Consider the following 25,313-nt stretch of genomic DNA (forward strand, 5'->3'; position numbering starts at 1 on the left):
GTTGTCGAGACATGGTTTCACTCTGTCGCCCAGGCTGGAGTGCAGTGACACAATCTCGGCTCACTGCAACCTCCTCCTCCCGGGTTCAAGCGATTCTCGTACCTCAGCTTCCCAAGTAGCTGGGATTACAGGCATATGCCACCACACTCAGCTAATTTTTGTATTTTTAGTAGAGACAGGGTTTCACCATGTTGGCCAGGCTGGTTTCTAACTCCCAACCTCAGGTGATCCGCTTGCCTTGGCCTCCCAGAGTGCTCGGATTACAGGCATGAGCCACTGCGCCCGGCCAAATTCTAACCACTCTTACATCTCAAATACAAGTGTCTTTGGTCAAGCAGTGTTCTTATGGAGACATTAGCCCTGGAGTAGTTGGCGGTGTTGGGAGGAGGGTTCATAAGCAGCGGAAGGCCTGGGGATTAACCTTTGCCTAAAGCCTGGTCTACATCCAGGGTTTCCACCCACCTATCTACCTGGTGAGACTGGCAAGGATTCCATTTTACTGATGAGGAAACTGAGTTCAGAGAAGTTGTCCGCTCACATTTATGGGGTTATAAAGTGATAGCACCAGGATTTGGAGCCAAGACTTCATTCTGGGCTCTGCGACAACCCCGAGCCCCCCTGTCTTGAGAGCATGTATCATAATAGAGAATATGATTCTCTATTAAAAAGTGGGAGTATCCACTTAAATTGTTTGTTTTTTTCTAACTTGGCAGATAGCTTGGAAAGTTCCTGGACACCAGTTGGACTTGCCGCGAAAACCATTAATCTGGCCTTTCAGAGAAAATCTTCAGAAGAATGTATTTGCAAGGTGAATTATGAGGATTTAGGATTTGCCCTCAAATTTCTCTTTCAGGCTGCTCTTCAAATAAATATTTCCCCATCCAAAAGAGACCACAGTTATTTTAGATGTTTGTCTCTTAACATCTGAATGCACTGCTTTTTCTTAGCTTTACAAGAACCTGTCCTCACAATAATCCACTCTACAGCTGAAAAGTCTTCTTACTCCTGCAAATCTGAACCCAGTAATGACTAACATTGCACCCAATAAGAAGTGAGGATAATTTCAGAACACTTGGCTTTGCTTTAAAGGGCAAGATTTTGGAAGCAGGTTCACAGGACTCCATCCAGATCTGTCTTCCTGGCACACAGCTCAGGGGACCATGCCCAAGCTCCAGGTGACAGCAGAGGGCAGGAGAGGGGACGCTTGCTTCCCACATGTCTGGCCCTAGGGTAGGGAGCTCGTTAGGACTCCAGGTGCCAGAATCCCACAGCACAGTGGCCTCTGGATGCCCCTTCGTGTCCTGGAAAGGAGAGGCGGCTCCTCTCCAACTCAGGGTGGGGCTGGGAGAGGTCTTGACAGCAGGCAGGCCTTGGAGGCCACCGCAGCTCCCCAAATGTCCCTGTGCCTCTGCACTCGCTGGGCCTGCTAGCTGTTCTGGGTCTCAAGGGTATATATACAATTCTGAACATGTAACTAAGAACATGTAACTCCACTAGGCTCATATCTCACCCTACACCAGCGTTCATGATGTGGGATTTCTGAGCTGACTGCACGTGAGACCCGGCCAGGTCTTGACTCACTGCCTGAATTTTCCACGTCTTTCTGGAGATAAAGCCTTTCTCTGGCTTGGTGAATGCTGTCTGATTCTTCATCTTTTTCCATTTGGCATTTTGCTTTGAAACTCAGAGTGTTGTAAAAGTAGTTGTACCTGCATTTATGTTAGAGATTCTAAAAAATACAACTCTGAGCTGGGTGCTGTGGCTCATGTCTGTAATCCTAGCACTCTGGGAGGCCAAGGCGGGAGGATCACTTGAGCCCAGGAGTTCAAGACCAGCCTGGGCAACAAAGCAAGACCTCGTCTCCATAAAAAGTAAAAAAAATGGCTAGGTGTGGTGGCTCATGCCTGTAACCCCAGTACTCTGGGAGGCCAAGGTGGGTGGATCACCTGAGGTCGGGAGTTCAAGACCAGCCTGACCAACATGGAGAAACCCTGTCTCTACTAAAAATACAAAATTAGCTGGGCATGGTGGCGCATGTCTGTAATCCCAGCTACTCGGGAGGCTGAGGCAGGATAATTGCTTGAGTCCGGGAGGCGGAGGTTGCCGTAAGCCGAGATCGCGCCATTGCACTTCAGCCTGGGCAACAAGAGTGAAACTCTGTCTCAAAACAACAACAACAACAAAACAAAACAAAAACAAAACAAGTAAAAAATTAGCCAGGCATAGTGGCGTGTGCCTGTAGTCACAGCTACTTGGGAGGCCGGGGTCAGAGGATCACTTGAGCCCAGGAGTTTGAGGTTGCAGTGACCTATGATTGCACCAGTACACTTCAGCCTGGGCAACACAGTAAGACCCCATCTCTATAATCAATCAATCAGTCAATCAATAAAATACAACTCTGATTTTGTAAAGAAAAAAAGATGTTTTGGGAGGACAACCTTAAGACAAAGAAAACAAAGTTTTCTAGTCCCATCTCCTCATTACCTGCTGCTGTCATGTGCTAGGAATAATAATGCAATAATTAATTGAGTTGCCACAGCGGCAGGGACTGTCCTAAAGGCTGGATGTATGTTTTATCATTGAGTTCTCACAGCAATCCCAGCAGGCAGGATCTGTTTCTCCCCATTGTACAGATGAGGAAACTGAGGCACAGAAATGCTTTACTTGGCCAAAGGTAGACAGCAAATAAATGGGGCCCAGATGCAAATGCAAACATTTTGACTCCAAAACACTTGCCCATAAACCGCATGCGCCACTGCATGGAGAGATATAACAAGGACCACCACAAGTCACTCATCCAGAAGCAGTTTCATGGACTATACAAACTTAATTTAAACGTGTGAATTCCTTCTAACAGGATGAAGAGCAATCTGATGCCTTCTCAGTTACAAATCTGTTTGTAGAGGGCATTGATAGTTCCTATATTTTAAATAGTTGTTTTGGAGGTTCTAGATGGCAGATTACATACAAAGAAAAATGCTTTTTTGATGACATGGATTATCATTACATAGATTTGCAGTGAGTCGAGCCATGTTCCCCAGCTATATATTTTTTTTTCAGTAAAAGTCTGGTATAACACAGGAAGTTATACCAGATTCTACTTCTGTAGCCTATTAGGCAGATGTTGCGAAGGAATTTCACTGTGTTTGATGCTTCAATTTCGTACAGAATCTCAGGTCTGACATGGAAGAAGTTTTGATGACTTACTGCCAACTTTGTATCACCCCCAAAATGCTTTAGAGAAATATCTCTCTACAGAGGAAAGCAAGGAACTGTGACTTTAACTAGTGAATTGGATCAACGTGTCCAGCTAATTCAGGTACCAAATCCTATTTTTCTGTAACAGCAGAAAACTGTCACGACTGCCACTGAGCTCAACTTTTCCTGAACAGACTCAGCTAAAATCCTTGCCATGTCTCAGTTCTCATTTCACTATGCTAATTAGGGAGCCCAGAGGGTGAGTCTACACATGTAAAATGGATGGATCTTAACACATCGATGCTTTGTTTTTAGCCAGATTGCTGCACAACTGATTCCACTTCTGCAGCAACTGCCATCCATCACCAGGACTGCTCTGCCTGGGGACAGCCAGGCCACAGCCCTGCTGACGTCTGCATGGGTCTTGGACGTGGTCTAGGGCCAGAACGCAGTGATGAAGCTGGTGGTTTGTAGAGGCTTTTACTACAAGTAACATCCCTCATTTGATGAAATAGATATCTTTCTGCCAACTTGGCTCTGTCACTGAAACCTGGTGTTTTTGTCTGGTAATTCTTCAAATTTGATGTTTTAAAGAATGTTAAGTGAATTAATTCCTCCTTTTTGTCAGTGCTATAAGTTCCATACAGAGTTTGCTCAGTCTGAAGTACATCTGTATTAATTAGACAAACTAAAGCATTGGGTGGATCTAAACGGTTCCTTTTAATGATTTTTCTCCACGATGACAAGGCACACTATACAAACAACCACCTGATTTTAGCAAGAGGGCTAAAAATTATATTGCATAAATGGAGTTGCATTATTTAAACTTAAATTCAGGCCAGGTGCGGTGGCTCACGCCTGTAATCCTAGCACTTTGGGAGGCAGAGGCAGGCGGATCCTTGAGATCAGAAGTTCGAGACCAGCCTGGACAACATGGTGAAACCCTGTCTCTACTAAAAATACAAAAATTACCCGGAAATCGCTTGAACCGGGGAGGCGGAGGTTGCAGTGAGCTGAGATCGTGCCACTGCACTCCAGCCTGGGCAACAGAGCGAGACTCTGTCTCAACAGAAACAAACAAACAAAAACAACAACAACAAAAAACAAAAAAACCCTGAAATTCAAACTTTTGCCATTAAAAACATCCTCAATTCGATAAATTACAACTTGTATTTTGAAATATTGGTGGAATGACCTTACCTGCTCTATTTCAACCTTAAACAGCTGAATTAAAAGCCTAATTCCTACCAAAAGTCTTTAAAATGAGAAATTAACTGTGATGATACTTTCCCCTGATTAAATAAGAAGCAAGAGCTGGGGCTTTGCCTGAGAGGACATCATTTCAGAAGTCAATTTGGTTTTGACTTCGTTAAAGCAATAAAATGTGGGTGGTTAATCTGAGTGAAAGCTGCCATGTTCTAAAAATGCGTGAAGACTTAACTGGATGGGTGGTTGCACCGCAGAAGCTATTTAGGATTGGAAAGTAGCTGTGATTTGGATTTTAATGAATTGCACACTGTTGACGAATTCTTCAGCAGTTAGCCTGGATCCTTTCCACTCAACTTAGACCTTTCTGCCTAGTTACTCCAACTTAAACCTCAGTTCCTGGAGGAATCAAGTTTGTCTTATAGCTGTTGTCTTTGATGGAGATGAGCCCGAGAGACATTAAAGTTTCAGTGAATTTTATCCCCTTTCTGGATACTATTAAATCACTCCTGCCCCAGGCAGAAGACTGGTCTTTACTCTAAGGCAGCTAAAGAGTGACTATTTTTCCAAATTGCACAAAAGGGAGAATTTATCAAGCACCTTTTCTCTCAGAGAGGACAAACCCAGAACAGGAAAACTTTATTACTTTCTCTCTTGGCTATAAATTATGCTATTCAGATGTATTTGAAAGCTTCTCTTTATGCTCTTGCTTGAGCCATAAAACTTGATACCTGGGGCCAAATGCCTTTATCCCCAAGAAGGGTGAAGAAGATGAAAAGGCAGCAGCTCTAGGCGGAAGCCACACAAATGACTGGGCAGAAAATGCGGGCGGTGGAGAAAGTTACATTGCACGATTCATGCCTCTTTGACCTTATATTCTACTCTGAAATTAATGTTACTGTTTGCATAGGATCACTGGCCTTTCGAAACCTGAATTAGCCATTCAGAAAACACTAGGTTTAACCAATACCATCAATTTGATTGTTGTTGTTATACTTATTTATTTTTGAGGCGGGGTCTTGCTCTGTTGCCCAGGCTGAAGTGCAGTGGTGCCATCTTGGCTTACTGCAACCTCCACCTCCCGGGTTCAAGCGATTCTCCTGCCTCAGCCTCCCGAGTAGCTGGGATTACAGGATTATACCTGTTTAATTTTTGTATTTTTAGTAGAGACAGGATTTCACCACGCTGGCCAGGCTGGTCTTGGACTCCTGACCTCAAGTGATCCGCCGGCCTCAGCCTCTCAAAGTGCTGGGATTACAGGCGTGAGCCACCGTGCTCGGCCTGTTGTTGTTATTTTTAATACCGGGATTTTAGATCTGATGAATTTCAATAAGCCAGCCACTCACCTGGAGAGGGTTCGCTGGGGTCCACTTTCTCTGCTTTCCTTACAGTCATGGTACTTTTATGTTTCTGCTTGACTGATGTTTGGTCAATTGCTGGAAGTTTGGAGTCACACTTAAATGCAGATATCTTGATAGATGACCTTGGTTCAGTTAGAGCATCCTCCTCACTAGAACTCTACCAAAAATGAAATACGTCTGAGTCTCAGTGGCCAAGTAGGTCAACTTTGTTAGGCAGAGAAAACAGAAATGAGGCAAATGCAGTGACCCTCTCCAGCAATAATCCTAGAGTCTTCTGCCAGGTCAACACGCCCGTTCACCAGAGAGATTCAGATGGACTGGGCAGAGCAACTTAGAAATAATGGCAGAGTTAGTGAGTCTGTTTTGTAGAACATTATGAAAGAATGCATTTTTCTGTGAGTGTGTTTTGTAGAACGTTATGAAAAGAATGCATTTCTGACCCTTAAGTAATTTGATGACAGATAAATAGCGCATGTGCTTTTAAACTTCTTATTGTTTGTTATTTGAACTACTTTGGAGATAGGCTAGAAGAAAAAATGTTCCTTATGTTAATCATACATTTGACAATGAAAAGGAAATGTAGATAGTGTGACGGAGGCAGATTAAATCAGACCTCAGTTTCAATACTCTGCGTTACTGGGTGCAACACGAGACAGACTAATCTTTTAAAAAGTCCCCTCCTTGTCACTCTTCTATAAAGAAGTCAGTATAAATCTATGCATGGACAAATCATGATTCCTGCTGTGTCAGAATATCTCAACACAGCCATGCCGACGCAATAAAAATTATCCAGGCATGGAACAGCTTTATACTTGGCCACACTTACACCCACCAAAGAAAGGATGAAAACAATATAAATATCAGAAACCTGGTCTTAAAGGTGATTTAAGTACAGCCTGATGGCTTTAGGTCCTGGTGTTGGTATGACTTGCTAGGCTATCCATTCTGCAACAAATAAATCACTAGGTTCCCCCTTCCCCGACCCTGGGGGGTCGTTGCGGTGGGGGTGGAGGGGGGCACTAAGCTCTCTCCTCCATTGCACATTAGTCCAGTGTTGGAAAGTCCTGTGAAAATGTGGTCTTTTGCAGGCATAGAATGCTAAATTAACATCCCTGGTACCTCCCCAACTGTTGCAATTTGTATTGATCTTGCTCACCGTTCTCCCTGTCAGTTGTGGCATTTTCATTTCACAGGCTCCTGACTCAGGAAAATACTCTGAGTAGCTTTGAATTATTGGGTGTGATGTAAGACAAACTAAATTCTAAAAAAGTCCTCTACTTGTCAGTCTTCTGTAAAGAAGTCTACATAAATCTACAGGTGGACACATCATTATGCTCCAAGATGATGAATCATATTTTAAATTTAGAGTTTGGATACAGCCTTCAAACAAATAATTCTTGTTTCTCCGCACAATTTCAGAAAACAGACCACCCTCAGATAAAAGAACCAGAAAAGCACAAGACACAACAAACTGACTGTTCTCCCCTTTCCTTTTCGATTTTGCTATTTAATTGAAATCCTTGCAAATAACTCTGAAATGTCAAAGATGAAACATTAGGTCATTTCTTTTTTCTTTTTTTCTTTTTTTTGAGACAAAGTTTCACTCTTATTGCCCAGGCTGGAGTGAAATGGTGCCACCTTGGCTCACTGCAACCTCCGCCTCTCGGGTTCAAGCAATTCTCCTGCCTCAGCCTCCTGAGTAGCTGGGATTACAGGCACCCACCATCATACCCGGCTAATTTTTGTATTTTTAGTAGAGACGGGGTTTCGTTATGTTGGCCAGGCTGGTCTCGAACTCCTGACCTTAGGTGATCAACCCATCTCAGCCTCCCAAAGTTCTGGGATTATAGGCGTGAGCCACTGTGCCTGGCTAAAACATTAGGTCATTTCTGAACATGAGATAGGTTCTCTATTCTCAGAAAAGAAAATGCGGGCACATTTTAAGTATGACACCTAAGAATGTCATTGTAATTGGGTCCTGGAAGTCACAGTCCTGGAACTGGGTCCCAAGAAGAGCATCAATGAATAAGGGACAGAATTTCTTCCATAAACTGCCCAACAAAATCAGCTCACTGCAGTGGGTTAAGTCAACTCCCACAGGGCCCTGCAAGTGAGCCCTTTATTTCCAGCCAGCAGAAAGGCAGGAAAAATGCTCCAGGCGAGGATGACCAACACCTGTGTCAGCAGCAGTAGCAGCAGCAGCAGCAGCAGGTGTCCGCTCAGCTCATCTTCGCGGATCCATTTCCATTACCCCCAGCCAGGGCCGGAATTCTTGGCTTGCCCCAGGCTGTGGTGAATAGGGAGGAGACCTTTATTGGTTGAGCTGTTAAGCCACGTTTATCCTTCCTCCACCCATTCATTAAACCTCAAGCCTTTAGTGCACTGAAGAGGTGAAAGCTTGGCCAATTAAATCATCCTGTTACCTACGGGATTGTGAGCCTACATTGTGAATACATCCTTCTCTGGTTCAATCAACCTTATTTCTAGGTAGTAATCATTAAGAGTCTAGAAATTGCAGCTAGAAGTTGGTGTTTTATCAGTTGTAAACCGAAGGTACAATGGCAAGAAGTGTAATACTTACAAATGTGTTAATGGACTTTTTTCCTGCTTGCCTCATTGAGAAATCTTAAATAAATCACGTCCACCTTTTGGTCTTTATTCTGTCTTCTTACGTTCTCAGCCATTCCCATCTATCCTCTTTCTTTCTTTTTTCTGGAGACAGAGTCTTGCTCTGTCACCCAGGCTGGAGTGCAATAGCGCGATCTCGGTTCACTGCAACCTCGACCTCCCCGGTTCAAGCAATTCTCCGGCCTCAGCCTCCTGAGTAGCTGGGACTACAGGCACACGCACCATGCCTGGCTAATTTTCTGTATTTTAGTAGAGATGGGGTTTCACCATGTTGCCCAGGCTGGTCTCGAACCCCTGAGCTCAGGCAAGCCGCCCGCCTTGGCCTCCTAAAGTGCTGGGATTACAGGCGTAAGCCACCACGCCCGGCCTATCCTCTTTCATGAAACCCCATCGTATCACGCAGGGAGGATCGTCCTTGAGTGGGAGAAGTTGTAGTAAATCATCCTGGCACTAAAGTGTGGTACTTAAGGCCCTGGAGCCCAGCTCCACGGGAGTGAATCCCAGCTCTTGCACATAGTAATTGTGTGACATTGGGTTAGTTCATTTCTCTGGATCTCAGATTTCATTTGTGAACAATAGTATCTACCTTTTGGTGGTTTTGTGAGGATTACATAATATATATATGTACGCATAGCACTTAGAACAGCACCATATACATGTAACCCAGCAAGCGCCATGCAAGTATTGGCTTTTATAATTAGCCATTAATTCATGTTCAGCCATTTATAAAATTAACTAGCTAACTACTGAACATTTACTACCTATGGTTGAAACTAAAGTCAAAGTCCCCAGTGAAAAATCCTATTGGATTTCACCTATTCCAAAAGGGTGGTATGAATGGAGACGTGGGTTAGTTCCACACCAGACTCTTGGTTTCTTCTCCAGGGAATATAATCTATAATAGTATGACAATCTTATAAATGGCCAGTTGAAATTTATCTAGTTTTAAGAAAATATGGTGCAATGGTTTTTGAGACAGTAAAGCTCTAATGGCAAATATTTGACAACATTAGAGATAATCAAACAATAATAATTAAAATTTTAATTTTAAAGTTGATTTTTAAATTGCATCTTTTCCTCTTGTAATTTTGAAAAATAATTACAATTTTCATTCCTTCCTCATGTGTCCCCAAGTTGAAATGTCACTTGGAGGTGGAGGCAACAGCACACTGCTATTCCTTTGGGGGACGAAAGCCAGCTCTATCTTTAAAAATCAAAGCCCACGACATTAAAAACAAACCAAAAACCAAAATAAAACAAAACCCAACCTACGTGACACTTAAGTATACTTCACATTCTCTGCTGAGAATCTGATGAAAGTTCTAACAAAGCCATGTTAACTAAAATAAGTTGACGAAATCAGTATTTTCTTGAGAATCGTCATTTTTGTACTTAAGGTTTTCCAAAGATCCCGAACTTGCTCTACTGGCCTCATGTCTAATAAAGTAGAGTTATCACTCTGCCCAGGGCTACGCGCTTTCAAAAGTTCACAGAAAGGCCCACACTGAGGAGAGAAGGAACTTAACTGGGTAAGTAGCATTGGGCAGTGAGGTAATGACATCATGGTTCAAGTAGATGTCCTGGAAGGTGAAAACGCATGGGTTGAGAAGGGGGATGAATCTCCTCGGGAATGTGAGAATGATTCAATTCTTAACAACTAGGACCTAACAATATGGTGTCTGAAATGATAAGGCGACAGTGAACAGAGATGACCCGAAGAGCAAGTAGACTAAGGCAGTCGGGGACAGAAAAGACTTCAAGTTATTTTCCAACTATTGCCTGATGGCTCCTTTCCAAGAACCGGCAAACTGGTTCTTAACTGATATGCCATTTCTGTCCCTCCCCGAGAGGTGCTACTGAATTCTGATTGATGTGTACCGAACCCATCTTTGCCGTGAGTCACGTGATGGAGGCTGAGCTAAGTGGATCTATGATATAGTGCAGGGCACAGCTTGCTGTGGATGGGAGGGAAAAGGCAAAGAGTAGTGTCAAGCTGGCGCCAGACTGTGTTGAGTACATTTGAAATGAACTTGGTCTCGTGAGATTATAAAGGAGTGTGATCAAGGCAGTGAACCTCAACCTTTAAACAGTGACAACATGGGAAGGTCGATCAAGGGACTGTGTGTGCCACCTTCAAGAGCACTGTCCCCAAAGCCCACACTCAAATTGTGCTTCAAACACAAAAACCACCTTAGGGAATTGAGGGCAGCTTGTATAAATAGCATTCTGGATAGGACGGCTACCTTTACGTAGTCATGAAATGTAAAATATGTCCTGCACAAAGTGCTGTTGTAGCACGAAGCAAGCAAAACTTTCTCTTGTCTAGAAAAAAACTCTTACAGCAGCAAAATCCCTCCTGTGCGTTCAAGACAATTTTGAGTGTGCCAGAATTGTACGCTTGGACAATAAAGAACGAGGCTCAGTAGGCTTTTTGGTCTTTCTGGACTCAGGTACCACCCACCTGAATCAAACTGCTGCTGACTCTCATCTGTCTCCCCTATCTGAAGACGTGGCTGCCAGGTGGAGCTGGGTAAGACTAGGCACTACATGCCCTTGGTCTCCATTTTGCCTGAACATGCTTTTTGGAGGCCAGGTGCTGTGGTTCACGCTTGTAATCCCAGCACTTTGGGAGGCCAAGGCAGGCGGATCACTTGAGGCCAGGAGTTCAAGACCAGCCTGGCCAACATGGTGAAGCCCCGTCTCCACTGAAAATACAAAAAAAAAATTAGCTGGGCGTAGTGGCATGCGCCTGTAATTCCAGCTACTCGGGAAGCTGAGGCACGAGAATTGCTTGAACCCGGGAGGCAGAGGTTGTAGTGAGCTGAGATTGTGCCACTGCACTCCAGCCTGGGCAACAGAGCAGGACTCTGTCTCAAAAAAAAAAAAAAAAAAAAAAAAAAGATGCCTTTTGGAGTCAGCTGGGCTGCCAGATTGCCTAAATATCACAGGCACCTGTCTACCATCGAGTTCCACAGAGAACACCCTCCTGCCTACAGGCTTCTCTCGGATTTTCAGTCCAGCAAGTTGAAACGACCCAGCCTGTGGCCCTGGCTGGAGAGTGGCCTCGGTGATTTAAGTCTTCATAACATTCCATCACTACGGGGGTGCCCTCTGAAGGAGAGGCATGTGGGTCTGCTTGCTTTGCGATTACTATTCAGCCCACTATGGAACGGCCAGAGTGAAACTTCGCGCTGCAAGTTACTGACATGGCAAGCAGGACGTGCTAGGTACTTCTTATGATGCCAGGCAATCCTTTGTGTGCTGCAGAAATCACTGTTCAGTTTACTTGGTTGGTGACCACACATTTTTCCCGCTTCCAAATACTAGGGACACCTGTCTGTAGTATTATCTGGCTGTAGCAGGAGCAGGGTTCTGTGTGGTGCGAGGACGAAAAGGAAGCAGTATGTGGCCAGGAAATTGATAGATTTTAAAAACCGGAATGCAGCTGGGTATGGCAGCTCACGCCTGTAATCCCAGCACGGTAGGAGGCTGAGGCACTTGAGCCCAGGAGTTTGAGACCAGCCTGGGCAACATAGCGAGACCTTGTCTCTACAAAAAATAAAAAAAAATTAGCCAGGCATGGTGGTGTGCACTCATATTCCCAGCTACTCAGGAGGCTGAGGCAGAAGGATTGCCCACGCCTAGGAGGTTGAGGCTGCAGTGAGCTGTGATTGTGCCACTGCACTCCAGCCTGGGGGACAGAGCAAGACCCTGTCTCAAAATAAATAAATAAATAATTGGGGCCGGACGCGGTGGCTCACGCCTGTAATCCCAGCACTTTGGGAGGCCGAGGCAGGCAGATCACCTGAGGTTGGGAGTTCAAGACCAGCCCAACCAACATGGAGAAACCCTGTATCTACTAAAAATACAAAATTAGCTGGGCATGGTGGTGCATGCCTGTAATCCCAGCTACTCAGGAGGCTGAGGCAGGAGAATCACTTGAACCTGGGAGGTGGAGGTTGCAGTGAGTTGAGATAGCACCATTGCACTCCAGTCTGGGCAACAAGAGCGAAACTCCGTCTCAAAAAAGAAAAGAAAAGAAAAAAAGAACGTTAAAATGCGGTGTTTAATAGTTTAACAGCACATTGAGATTGCCCTTGACGTAGGTGTCTTTCAGATATGGTTTTGCTACAATGTGTTTCCCCTTCATCCTTTATTTGAATTCATATTCTTTTAGCTGAGAGGAGCATCTGAGCAACACCAGGGGGCTTGGCCATCAAATGGAGATCATCGATGAAAATGCTTCCTATTCGGAATAACAGGTCATTAAACATGGAAGTCAATTGAGATGTATCATACGCGCCTATTATGTCTTTAACACCGTGCTAGGCTCTGTGAAGGATACAGAAATAAGCTGACAAGGAGAGAGATAAGATTAATGACTTACCAGCAAAACGGAAAACAATGTTTAATCAAGGGATACGTTCTGTTGCACCCATTCTAAATGTCATGGAAAACCCCTGGGAAAAGGTGAAAGGTCAAGGGAAGGTGGTGGTGTGTGCTGGGACTTGAAGAATGGGTGGGGTCTGGCTAGGCTGGAGGTAGCACATGAGCCGCAGGATGGATGGAGTGAAAAGAGCAGGCGTGATTCTAGGACAGCCAGGCAGGTGGCTTGAGCATGGGGTGAGGAGGAGGGTGTGGGCCAGATTGTGGGGAGCCCTGAGATTCAAGCAAATGTGATAGAGAGTGGGGTCCCACTGAAGGTTTCTGAGTAGAAGAATGCTTAAAGTAGTACTTACAATTTAGCTATATGTTTCTTTTAGAGAGAGAAAACAAAACATCCTGCAAATTTGCCAGTCAAATAATCTCTTTGTGGTTTCAATGGTTTATTTTTGTAAAGCATAATTCTTTTCTTTATTACAAAAGAAATGCATGCTCAGAATGGAAAAACAAAAACAAGCATAAAGATATTTAAAACATTCAAAAACCAATTAACCTTGAAATAAAAGCTTTGAATTGGTGGGTCTGTATTCTTTTTTTTTTTTTTTTTTGAGATGGAGTCTCCCTCTGTCGCCCAGGCCGGAGTGCAGTGGCATGATCTCGGCTCACTGCAACCTCCACCTCCCAGGTTCAAGTGATTCTCCTGCCTCAGCCTCCCAAGTAGCTGGGATTACAGGCATGCACCACCACGTCTGGCTAATTTTTGTATTTTTAGTAGAGATGGAGTTTCACCATGTTGGCCAGACTGGTCTTGAACTACTGACCTCAAGTGATCCACCTGCCTCAGCCTCCCAAAGTGCTGGGATTACAGGTGTGAGCCACCTGTAATGCCCGGCCCTGTATTCTTTTAGACACTTTTTAATGACTGATGGAGACTACTACCTTTCTAGCAAAATCCCTTCTAAATCGCTAAGAGTTGAAGTCGGGATGTGTGGTTGCCCATCTTGAACTGAATCGTTCAGCCCCTGCACCTACTGCCCCACTGCAACTCAGGAGAAAGGTCTCACCCAGGGGAGTATGAGCAGAAGCAATGTGTGCAGCCTCCACAGAGAAAATATCTGGCCCTGCACCTCTGCCTATCACCTTCCTGTGAGCTGGAGAACAACAACTTTGAAAGTCATATGTTGAAGACGGCAGAACCAGCATCAGCCTGAGTCCCTGAAAGTCTGAGAAGTGCTGCCTGCTGACCTGCACATCTCACCAGGACTGTCACGTGTGCAAGAGATACACTTTTATCTTGTCGACTGAGCCACTGCATTCTTGGTCCCTTTGTTACAGCAGCTAACATTACTCTAACATAGAATTGTACCATTCATATGGGCCAGGTGCAGTGGCTCATGCCTGTAGTCCCAGTACTTTGGGAAGCGGAGGTGGGTGGATCAAGAGGTCAGAAGTTTGAGACCAGCCTGGCCAACATGGTGAAAGCCTGTGTCTACTAAAGATACCAAAAATTAGCCGGGCATGGTGGCATGGGCACCTGTAGTCCCAGCTACTTGGGAGGCTGAGGCAGGAGAATCGCTTGAACCTGGGAGGTAGAGGTTGCAGTGAGCCAAGATCACGCCATTGCACTCCAGTCTGGGTGACAGGGCAAAATTCCGTCTCAAAAGAATTGTACCATTTATACTGTTTTACTTAACAATACCTTGCAGCAATAGATACCTTTCTAGAACTGTTTTCAACTTTATTTTGAAAAGTTTCAAATCTACGGAGAAATTGAAAGAATAGTACAAATCACACCCTTTATTCTTTACCTTGGCAATTTGCTTTCTCTTTTTATATATAGTCTTTTTCTGAACATTTTCAAAATGACCACACTTCAAGATACTTTACCCCTAAATACTTCAGCAGGCATCTCCTATCAAAATAGACATTCTCCTGCAATGCCACAATACCATTATTTTACCTAAGAAAATTTAATCGTTCCATCATATTTTCTAATATGCAGAGCAGATTCCAACCCAATTGTCCCCAAGATGTCTTTTTGGGTATACATTTGGATCAATGATTCAGTCAAGGCACAATGTCTCTTTAGTTTTTTAATCTAGAACAATTCTCTGGTCTTTTGGCTTTTTAATTATTTTTCCCATTTTGAAGTGATCCAGTCAGCTGTCTCATAGAATGTCTTACGCTCTAAATTTGATTGCTCCTCATAATAAAATTCAGTTCAATTGTTTTGGGTGTGATTATTTTATAGGTGGTGTGGTGTCCTTCTTTATAATATCCTATCAGCAGGTGCCTTGTTAGGTTGTCCCAATATTGGTAAATGCTGTGTTTGATCTATAGGATAAGGTGGTGACCACCAGATTTCTCCAATGTAAAGGTACATTTTTTCCCTTTGTAACTAGCAGGTAATCAGTGGGATGGTTCTTTGGCACTGATTGAATAGCCTGTCCCTAAGTAGTATTTTACCCAATGATTTTAGCACCTTTTAATGTGCTTTGCCTATATTGATAATTACATTGGGGTAGCAAAATTGATGATTTTCTAATCCTACATTTGTTTGTTTGTTTGTTTGTTTGAGACAGAGTCTCGCTCTGTCACCTAGGCTGAAGTGCAGTGGCGTGATCTCGGCTTACTGTAACCTCCGCCCTGCAGGTTCAATTCTTGTGCCTCAATCTTCTGAGTAGCAGGTACTATAGGTGCACGCCAACATGCCTGGCTAATTTTTGTATTTTTAGTAGAGACAGGGTTTCACCATGTTGGGCAGGCTGGTCTCGAACTCCTGAGCTCAAGTGATCTCCCCACCTCGGCCTCCCAAAGTGCTGGGATTGTAGGCGTCAGCCACCACGCCCAGCCTAATTCCACATTCCTTTTACAATTATTAGCTAGCATTCTTCTCTAAAGAAGTATTTTCTTCCCCTTCCCCTTTCTTTTTTCTTTTTATTATCATTGCATTCTCAAGGATATGTTTTATTCAATTTTTTTTGTTCCTCAAATTGTGCCAAAAATGGTGAGTGGCAGTTCATTCAAGTTGGCTTTTAAAAATTTTTTTCAATGTTTGTTTTAGATACAGGGGGTACATATGCAGGTTTGTTACATGGGTATATTGCACCAGGTCATGAGCATAGTACCCAATAGATAGTTTTTCAATCCACATCCCCCTCCTTAGTGCACTTAGTAGTCCACAGTATCTGTTGTTCCCTTGTTTATATCCATGTGTGCTCAATATTTAGCTCCCACTTATAAGTGAGAACGTGTGGTATTTGGGTTTTTGTTCCTGCGTTAATTCCCTTAGGACTATGGCCTCCAGCTCCATCCATATTGCTCCAAAGAACATGGTTTCTTTCTTTTTTATGACTGTGTAGTACTCCATAGTGTATATGTACTACATCTTCTTTATCCAATCTACCATTGATAGGCACCTACACTGATTCCATGTCTTTGCTATTGCAAACAGCATGGCAATAAACATACATATACATGTGTCTTTTTGGTATAATGATCTATTTTCCTCTGGGTATATACCCAGCAATGGGATTGTTGGGTTGAATGGAAGCTTTGTTTTAAGTAATTAGAGAAATCTCTAAACTGCTTTCCACAGTGGCTGAACTAATTTACATTCCCAGCAACAGTATGTAAGTGTTCCCTATTCTCCACAGCCTTGCCAGCATCTATTGTATTTTGACTTTTTTTTTTTTTTTTGAGACAGAGTCTTGCTCTGTCTCTCAGGCTGGAGTGCAGTGCACGATCTTGACTCACTGAAACCTCGGCCTGCTGGATTCAAACTGTTCTCATGCCTCAGCCTCCTGAGTAGCTGGGATTACAGGCGTGGACCACCACACCCAGCTAATTTTTGTATTTTTAGTAGAGACAGGGTTTCACTATGTTGGTCAGGCTGGTCTCAAACTCCTGACCTCAGGTGATTCACCCGCCTTGGCCTCCCACAGTGCTGGGATTACAGGCGTGAGCCACCGCACCTGGTCTGTATTTTGACTTTTTTTTTTTTTTTTTTTTTTGAGACAGAGTCTCACTCTGTCTCCCAGGCTAGAATGCAGTGGCATGATCTTGGCTCACTGCAACCTCTGCCTCCCAGGTTCAAGTGATTCTTCTGCCTCAGCCTGACTAGTAGCTGGGACTACAGGCGCCCGCCACCATGCCTGGCTAATTTTTTGTATTTTTAGTAGAGGCGAGGTTTCATTGTGTTAGCCAGGATGGTCTTGATCTCCTGACCTCATGATCCAGCCGCCCAAGCCTCCCAATTCCTAGCCACACCTATGTGGCTGTAGATCATGTAATCTAATAATTATTAAACAAATGTAAAATTAGTAGAGTCACAGACTTTTTTTAAAAAAAGGAAATATGAACACCCATAAGAACATGGAATGGGGGATGGAGGTGTCCTAATCTAGTTTGGGGGTGTAACTAGTGAGCTGAGAGAGACCTCCCTATGGAAGTGACCTCAGCTGCAATCTCAGGCATGGCGGGAGGGGGTGAGTGCTGCAAGGGGAGGGAACAGCACGTGCAAAGGTGCTCTATCAGGAGGTGGCCGGGTACTTCAGAGGACACAAAGCCAGTGGGGGTGAAATGCAGAGCTGTAAGGAGAGCTAGATCTCGCAGGGCCTCGTTGGTTACATCCTCAAGCTAAAAGCCACAGAATGCCATGGAGGGATTTTAAGCAGGCAAATAAAATGGACTGAGCTCTGCTTGTCAATATCTATTTTTTTTTTTTTTTTTTCTGAGACAGAGTCTCACTCTGTTGCCCAGGCTGGAGCACAGTGGTGTGATCTCGGCTCACTGCAAGCTCTGCCTCCAGAGTTCCAGCAATTTTCATGCCTCAGCCTCCTGACTAGCTGGGATTACAGGCGCACACCACCATGCCCAGCTAATTTTTGTATTTTTATTAGAGACGGAGTTTTGCTATGTTGGCCAGGCTGGTCTCAAACTCCTGACCTCAACTGATCTGCCAGCCTCGGCCTCCCAAAGTGCTGGGATTACAGGCGCAAGCCACCACCCCCAGCCTGCTTGTCAATATCTCTCTACCTGTGTTATAGAAAATGGGATCTGGGAGCAGGAGTGTGAGTGTGAACACTGGTTAGGAGGCCACTGCAGTAACTCAATGAGATGGTGGCAGACAAGATGATCCAGATGGATTCAAAGGTATTGAGGAAGTGAAATGGAAAGGACTTGGTGACGAATTCAGTGCGGGGGGAGATGGAGAGAAAATGTCCCATTCTGATGCATAATATGGTTTGGCTGTGTCCCCACCCAAATCTCATCTTGAATTGTAGCTCCCACAATTCCCATGTGTCATGGGAGGGACCCGGTGGGAGGTAATTAAATCATGGGGGTGGGTCTTTCCTGTGTTGTTCTTGTGATAGTGAATAAGTCTCATGAGATCTGATGGTTTTATAAAGGGGAGTTTCCCTGCACAAGTTCTCTCTTTGTCTGTCGCCATGTAAGAAGTGCCTTTCGCCTTCTGCCATGATTGTGAGGCCTCCCCAACCATGTGGAACTGTGAGTCCATTAAACCTCTTTTTCTTTATAAATTACCCAGTCTTGGGTATGTCTTTATCAGCAATGTGAAAATGGACTAATTACAATGCACAAAAGGAAAAAGGAAGGGCCACACTGGGACCTCTAGCATGGGCCTGTTGGGCTTGAGGTGTCTTTTGAAATGCCTGAGTGAGACAGTGAGTAAACAGCTTGATATTCTGATTTGGGGATCAAAGTGAGGTTTGGGTGGGAAATGTAGGCCTGGGAGTCATTGGCAGTTGACATCTTGACTTTGGCTGCTAAAATGTTCAAGAAACAGAGTTTCTTGGGGGCAGGGCATTCACTTGCATGGGAAAAAAATTACACCTTTATTTTCTCCAACCTCTAATGAAATCTCAGCATATTTTTCATCTACGAATGCAGGCAACAAGCCACAGCAGCATTAGCAGGACCTGTGATTTTTGTCACCATTAGAAATCACAGATATTTTCACATCTCATTAAATTGGTTGCAGATGTCTCAAAATACCCTTTACACCCATCGCTTGTTATTTAATGTGCTAATAAAGAAGCATGTATATTACTCAATCACAACTTTCTAAAAATATTTTGATGACTATTTCAATAAAAGTGGGTTCCTTTGAAAGCCCGTGTATCTCATTTTATGTTTTTGAAAATATTACTCTGAGAAGGGGATCTAGGGAGTTCACCATGCGGCCAAAGAGGTTTGCGGCACAAAAATGAGATAAAACACCAAGGAAGAGATGAGAAGAGAGCCCATCCTCGAGGAATCCCAAGGTTCAGAGCCTGGGTGGAGGACGATGAGAAGTGGAGAATGAGAAACCGCCCCTGGAGACAATGGGAAACCAAGAGGAGCAGGTGGCTTTGCAGAAGCTCAGAAGGACAGTGTGTCCAGGAGGGGCTGGTGACCAAGCAAATGGACAGCTGCTGTGAGGTCAAGCACAGTGAGGACAGAAAGAGACCCGCTGCGTGCAGAGACGGGGAAGTCATTTGCTGAAGAGCCATTTCTGTGGAATGATGAGCATGGAAGCCAGATTGGAGTGGGCTGAGGAGTGAGTAGGAGGTGGGGAAATGGAGTCAGTCAGTGTAAATAATTCTTTTGAGAACTTTGGCTGTGAAGGGGAAGAAATAAGTGGAGGGGGATGTGGGATAAGGAAGGGCTGTTCTGTTCTTTTTTGCTGAGAGATCTCAGATCACAATTAAATGCGGATGGGAAGGCTCTGGCACAGAGCAGGGGATCCAGATGGGAAAGGGATGAGACCCAGGCTCACGGGATCCCAGGCACAGGTGGAGAGGGCGGTGATGGTGGGAGACAGCGGCTGGAGTAACAGTAAGCTCAGGAAATTTCTAGCTGAGGGACACTATGGCGTGAGGTGGAAGAGAGGAGGGCGTGAAGATTAGGGAGAAGGAAGACGGTTTGAGGAGGAAGACAGCGTTGACCAAAGAAGCGGGGCAGCACTGAGGAATTCCAGAGGCTGTGGCCTTTCAGCGGCATCACTTTTGAAAGTTGAGTGACTTTTCTCCAGCAGTGGTCAGTGGCCTGGATATGAGGCAGAAGATGATGGATGGGTGGGATTTCACCAGACAGGTGTAAAAGAAGACAAAAGGACAAGAGAATTATTAAGAGGGTCAAGCACAGGACCTAGGCTGTGTAGGGAGGACACGTCAGTGTGGAGCGGACAATCACAGGGCAAGGAAAGAGGAATCCACGGGCGAGAGGTTCCCCAGAGGTGGAGGAAGTGTCACTGGGAAATGGTTAAACAGCAGAGCCGGAAGGTCTGGAGACCTGTGATGATCCAGCGATTTTGGAGATGAAATTCTTTTGGGCGATGACACCACCTGGGATGTGCTATTGGGGATGGGGGTGGCAGAGTGGGACGGAGGAGGGCACTTGAGGAACTCGGGATCTGAGATGCCAGGATGTGGCTGGCTTAGCCTGGAGGATGCTGGAGTCAAGGATTGTGGTGGCAGATCAGGAGATGTGGTGGGGACAGAGACTGAACTGCCTGCCAAAGTCTGCACTGCCAGGGGACTAACAGTGGCAGGAATGACAAGGGGGAGAGGATGGTAGAATGAAACAGCACAAGCCTCGGTGGACAGTGTTTCCACCAGAGCCTGGTGGGCAGTGGTCTGGAGCAGCAGTGGGAGTAGGACAGCCTCAAGGAAAAGCCAGCTTCACTGCGGCAGGGAGGGGAGGGAGCTCTGAGAAGGGGTCTGAGGTGCATTTCCTGCGCTGCAGGGAGGATGCACTGCTCACCGTTTCCCAGACCTGCCACCCCTCCTTGACTCAGAGTCTTCCTTCCTCCTGTAACGTCCTCTCTACCACAGCTCCCCAGCCTCACCTCCAGATTCCCAAATCTTGTCAGTGACTTAAGATCCAGCTTAAAAATCTGCATCCTCAAAGGCCGGGCATGGTGGCTCACGCCTGTAATCTCAGCACTTTGGGAGGCTGAGGTGAGTGGATCACGAGGTCAGGAGTTCGAGACCAGCCTGGCCAAGATGGTGAACTCCTGCCTCTACTAAAAATACAAAAATTAGCCGGGTGTGGTAGCTTGTGCCTGTAATCCCAGCTACTCGGGAGCCTGAGGCAAGAGAATCACTTGAACCTCGGAGGCGGAGGTTGCAGTGAGCTGAGATCTTGCCACTGCACTCTAGCCTGGGCAACAGAGCAAGACTCCCATCTCCACAAAAAAGAAAAAACAAAAACAAACAAAAAAACTGCATCCTCTATGAAGCTTTCCCAGGTCTCCCCCTGGCCTTCCTTTTTTTTTTTCAGATGAAGTCTCACTCTCTCGCCCAGGCTGGAGTGCAGTGGTGTGATCTCCACTCACTGCAACCTCTGCCTCTCGGGTTCAGGCAATTCTCCTGCTTTAGCCTCCCGAGTAGCTGGGATTATAGGCACCCACCACCACGCCCAGCTTATTTTTGTATTTTTAGTAGAGACGGGGTTTCACCATGTTGCCCAGGCTGGCCTTGAACTCCCGACCTCAGGTGATCAGCCCACCTGGGCCTCCCAAAGTGCTGGGATTACAGGCATGAGCCCGGCCCCCATAGTCTTTTTATTATGCTCATCAGACACAGTTTTGAACTACAGACATTTGTATAATGCCTTAGTTTACCAACACTGTCAGCCACTCGGGGGGGGGCGTGGCTTATTAATTACCATCCCCATGGTACCCAACACGGTGTCTTGTACACAAGTGACTTTAGTTTCCTTATTTTTTATTTTTAAATTTAAAAAATTTTATTTTATTTTTAATTGACAAATAATAATTGTATTATAATTTCTGAATGAATAAAGCAATATAAAAACAAAATAAAAGAGTTTTAGGATGAAATGCTATATGTTATAAAATATGTGGAATGCAGGTATGAACCTGAATAATTTTATCTCACAATTTAAAAATTTTAAAATTTTGATATCTGAATTTTAACGTCTTTTCAATTATTTATTTATTTATTTAGAGACAGGATCTCATTCTGTCTCCCAGGCTGAAATGCAGTGGTGTGATCATAGCTCACTGCAGCCTTGAACCCCTGGGCTCAAGTGATCCTCCCACCTCAGCCTTCCAAGTAGCGGGAATTACAGGCTAATTTTTAAATCTTTTGTAATGATGAGGTGTTGCTGTGTTGCCCAGACTGGTCTTGAACTCCTGGGCTCAAGTGATCTTCCCAACTTAGACTCCCAAAGTGTGGGATTACAGGCATGAGTCACTGCGCTGGCCCTTAAATGGTTTTTAATAAGTACTGTGGTTTTAAAAACTGGAAACATTTTTCAAAATAGAGAATTTAAAGAAAATGTAGTAAACAAACACATAGCGCTACTTACAAAGGAAAAAAAGACATTTTATTATAATCTCCTCTCACACAATGTCTGCGCTGCTAAGACCAATCAACACAGGGAACCCTTTGGGTCAGAGGTCACCAATCCTCTGCACCAACAATTCACTGAGCTGGGATAACAATTGGTGCTTCTATCAACCCGGCCACATGGCAGGATCACCCTCGTGCAAGGACGAGGCTGTCTTGCCTGTGCGTTGAAAAAGGCAGGACAACTTTCTGGAAGCATCTGCAATTCAAACGGACGGTTCTCCCATTTTAATGTCATGCCCTATTTTAAAATTACCTAGAGGAACTCAGACGAAGCACAGAAATGAAGGAGAAATTAAGCGCTGCTGGCTTTGCCCAAGATAGCTAGTACTTGTTTGCTGCATTAATGCTGCTGAAGATCTCCAGCACCCTGGTCTGCCTACAGAGGGGTTTGCACACCAGTATTCCAATTACTCTATAACCTGATCATAAAAGAAATAGCCAGTTCAGTCTGGTGAGTTATCTGGCGGAATCTTCAACCACAACAAGATGACCTCCCTTATAATGTACAAGTGAGTCCTGGGTCAACTTCAGGCCGTTCTGAGTTTCCTCCATCTACTCAGAGCTACAACCCTGCCATTCTTATGCCTTTGCATCCTTGCCTACCTGTGACCAAAGGAACCTGGTGTTTTAAAGAAGCCATCTGTCCCTCTGTAGAGTGGTATGCCAGGAAAAGAATGCTTTATTTAGCTGGCTGGCTACTCTGGTCACCACTTGTTCCGGGGTTTCAAGAGGGTCTGATCATAACTGACTAATCTTCTAGCCCAAATGGCCACTGCAGATTGGCAGCCTTACCAAACCATTCTCCCGTCAATCATTTCAAGCCAGGTCATGGAGCATTCTCCACTCCAAGTCACATTATCCCCTTTCTTCTCTTGCCCACAGTAAGGATCCCTATTCTGGCTATTACGGCGATATGGTTACAACTTTTGATAGGTGCACATTCCTAAAACATTCTTGCAATCAAGGTAAGAGGTGGAGCTCAGACACTGGACCAAATTGAGGACTAGATAAAACGGGGATGGGCTGCAAGCAGCTTTCCATAAGACATGCCCAACAATGTGCCATGTCAGTTTACCATTGCCATGGCAACACCTGGGAGTTAACACTCCTTTACATGGCAATGACCTAACGACCCAGAAGTTAATACCTTTTCCTAGAAATTTCTGCATAATCTGCATGCTATTAAAAGTAGGTATAGCCTGGGCGAAGTGGCTCATGCCTGTAATCCTAGCACTTTGGGAGGCCAAGGTGGGTGGATCACCTGAGCTCAGGAGTTTGAGACCAGGCAACATGGTGAAATCCCATCTCTACTAAAAATACAAAAAATTAGCCAGGTATGGTGGTGGGTGCCTGTAATCCCAGATACTAGGGAGGCTGAGGCACGAGAATCACTTGAACCTGAATCGCTTGCAGTGAACCGAGATCCTGCCACTGCACTCCAGCCTGGGTTACAAAGTGAGACTCCATCTCAAAAAAAAAAAAAAGAAAAAAAAAAAGAAAAGTAGGTATAAATATGATTTGAGAATGGCCCTGAGCTGCCACTCTGGGCACACTGCCTATGGGGTAGTCCTACTCCACAAGGAGCAGTCTGTCTGCTGCTGCTGTGCACCACCACTTCAATAAAAATTGCTGCCTAACACCACCGGCTTCCCCTTGAATACCTTCCTGGGCAAAGCCAACAACCCTCCTGGGCTAAGTCCCAAGGCTGGGGCTCACCTGCCCTGCATCACAACTGTCAGTCATCAAATATGCATGGAGCTCCTATTATGTGCTAGGCATTGGAAATATAACCACAAACAGTGCCTCCTCTTTTGACTAGCTCCCAGCCTAAGGGAGGAGGCAGACAGAAAGATGTACCCCATGGTGGGCATGAGCCCAGAGGGTGTTCTAAGAATACAAAGACAGGACGAGCAAAACCATTCAACCCCCAGGAGAAGCTCCAGAAACTTTTTTCAGAGGAGGTGCCCTCAGAGTTGAGGGTGCACAGAGGCTGGGCAGATGAGCTCGGGAGGTAGGCAGGGGTCAGGCACACAAGGGCCTTGGGTACCTTGCGAAGGTATCTGAATTTGATCCCAAAGACAATGGGAAACCACTGAAGAATGTTTAATAAAGGAGTGTTGTGATCCAATTTGATCCTAGAGGTATCTATCTCTCTTATAGCAGCCTGGAAGACTGCCTGTAAGGGGAAAAGTAAAGACAAAATCATTAGGGAAATGACAATAATCCAGACAAATCCAAGCACTTTGGGAGGCTGAGGCGGGTGGATCACTTGAGGTCAGGAGTTCAAGACCAGCCTGGCTAATATGGTGAAACTCTGTCTTTACTAAAAACACAAAATTAGCCGGGCATCATGGCGCACGCCTGTAGTCCCAGCTACTCAGAAGGGTGAGGATCACGCCACTGCACTCCAGCCTGGGTGAGAGAACACGACTCTGTCTCAAAAAAAAAAAAAAAAAAAAATCCAGACAAGAAAAGAGAGGGCCCTACAAAGGCAGGTAAAAGTGGACAGATTTGAGGGAGAGGAGAGGAGACAGTCAGGTTTCAGTGTTTGATTGCTGGAAGTAGGAGGAGGAGCAGAAGAAAGAGAAGGCAGAGTCTAAGATAATTTCCAGGATTCTGGCTTGGGCAGAAATAAGAACTTCAGGAAGAGGAAACAATTTGAGGGGAGATGATGATGTATTCAGCACCATGAGCCTGAGGGGCTTGTGGGACCTGCCACGGTGAACAGAGCAACGGCTAAAATGGAAAACAAACTCAAAGGAAAATTCCCACAGATCTGCACTTGTCAAACCGTGGGCTGCACATTCTCTCTCCATGACGTGCGTTTCAGGCTCCAGATGCTGCGTGCAGAGCTGCGTTCTTACCCAGTGCACCTCGAGGGCGCAGAATCTGAGCTAGAGTCAAGAGGGCGGCTGTGAAGAACACCACGCCAGGTGTTAAGGGTGACTCACAGCCTCCCAGGGTGGGGCCCCCTGGCAGCTAGAACCAGCGTGTGCATGCGCGACCTGCCTCATCAGCACACAGGCCTAGGGCCAGAAAGAAGAGGCCCGACCCACAAGGAATCTGAGAATGGGCAAGCAGAAATTAGAGAAAATTAAAAGCATGATTCATGGAACACATATGCCACATCCTAAGCCGTGGCTGCTTTCATGAC

General features: G+C 45.1%; 1 protein-coding gene across 16 annotated transcripts in view, besides 2 other annotated features; it reads right to left on the reverse strand.

The window, feature by feature from the left end:
* MARCHF10 (membrane associated ring-CH-type finger 10) overlaps nucleotides 1-25,313 on the reverse strand; it is a 107,001-nt gene that overhangs the window by 52,771 nt on the left and 28,917 nt on the right. For all 16 annotated transcript variants that reach the window (XR_934406.4, XM_005257102.4, XM_005257100.4 and 13 more), the window contains one exon: nucleotides 5,751-5,922. Coding sequence is in view for 15 of the 16 variants with exons in the window: in XM_005257102.4 (XP_005257159.2) it covers nucleotides 5,751-5,922 (172 nt within the window). In the remaining variant the exon portion in view is untranslated. The remainder of the gene's footprint in view (nucleotides 1-5,750; nucleotides 5,923-25,313) is intronic.
* Nucleotides 7,610-8,135: an enhancer, noted in NCBI's record as "OCT4-NANOG-H3K27ac hESC enhancer chr17:60839055-60839580 (GRCh37/hg19 assembly coordinates)". NCBI's record gives its function as "activates a minimal SCP1, AML or CMV promoter by ChIP-STARR-seq in naive and primed H9 embryonic stem cells {active_cell/tissue: H9 hESC(naive and primed)}" and the evidence as "EXISTENCE:reporter gene assay evidence [ECO:0000049][PMID:30033119]".
* Nucleotides 8,136-8,662: an enhancer, noted in NCBI's record as "OCT4-NANOG-H3K27ac-H3K4me1 hESC enhancer chr17:60839581-60840107 (GRCh37/hg19 assembly coordinates)". NCBI's record gives its function as "activates a minimal SCP1, AML or CMV promoter by ChIP-STARR-seq in naive H9 embryonic stem cells {active_cell/tissue: H9 hESC(naive)}" and the evidence as "EXISTENCE:reporter gene assay evidence [ECO:0000049][PMID:30033119]".

Source organism: Homo sapiens, chromosome 17, assembly GCF_000001405.40.
Source record: "Homo sapiens chromosome 17, GRCh38.p14 Primary Assembly".
In the NCBI taxonomy this organism is placed as follows: domain Eukaryota; kingdom Metazoa; phylum Chordata; class Mammalia; order Primates; family Hominidae; genus Homo; species Homo sapiens.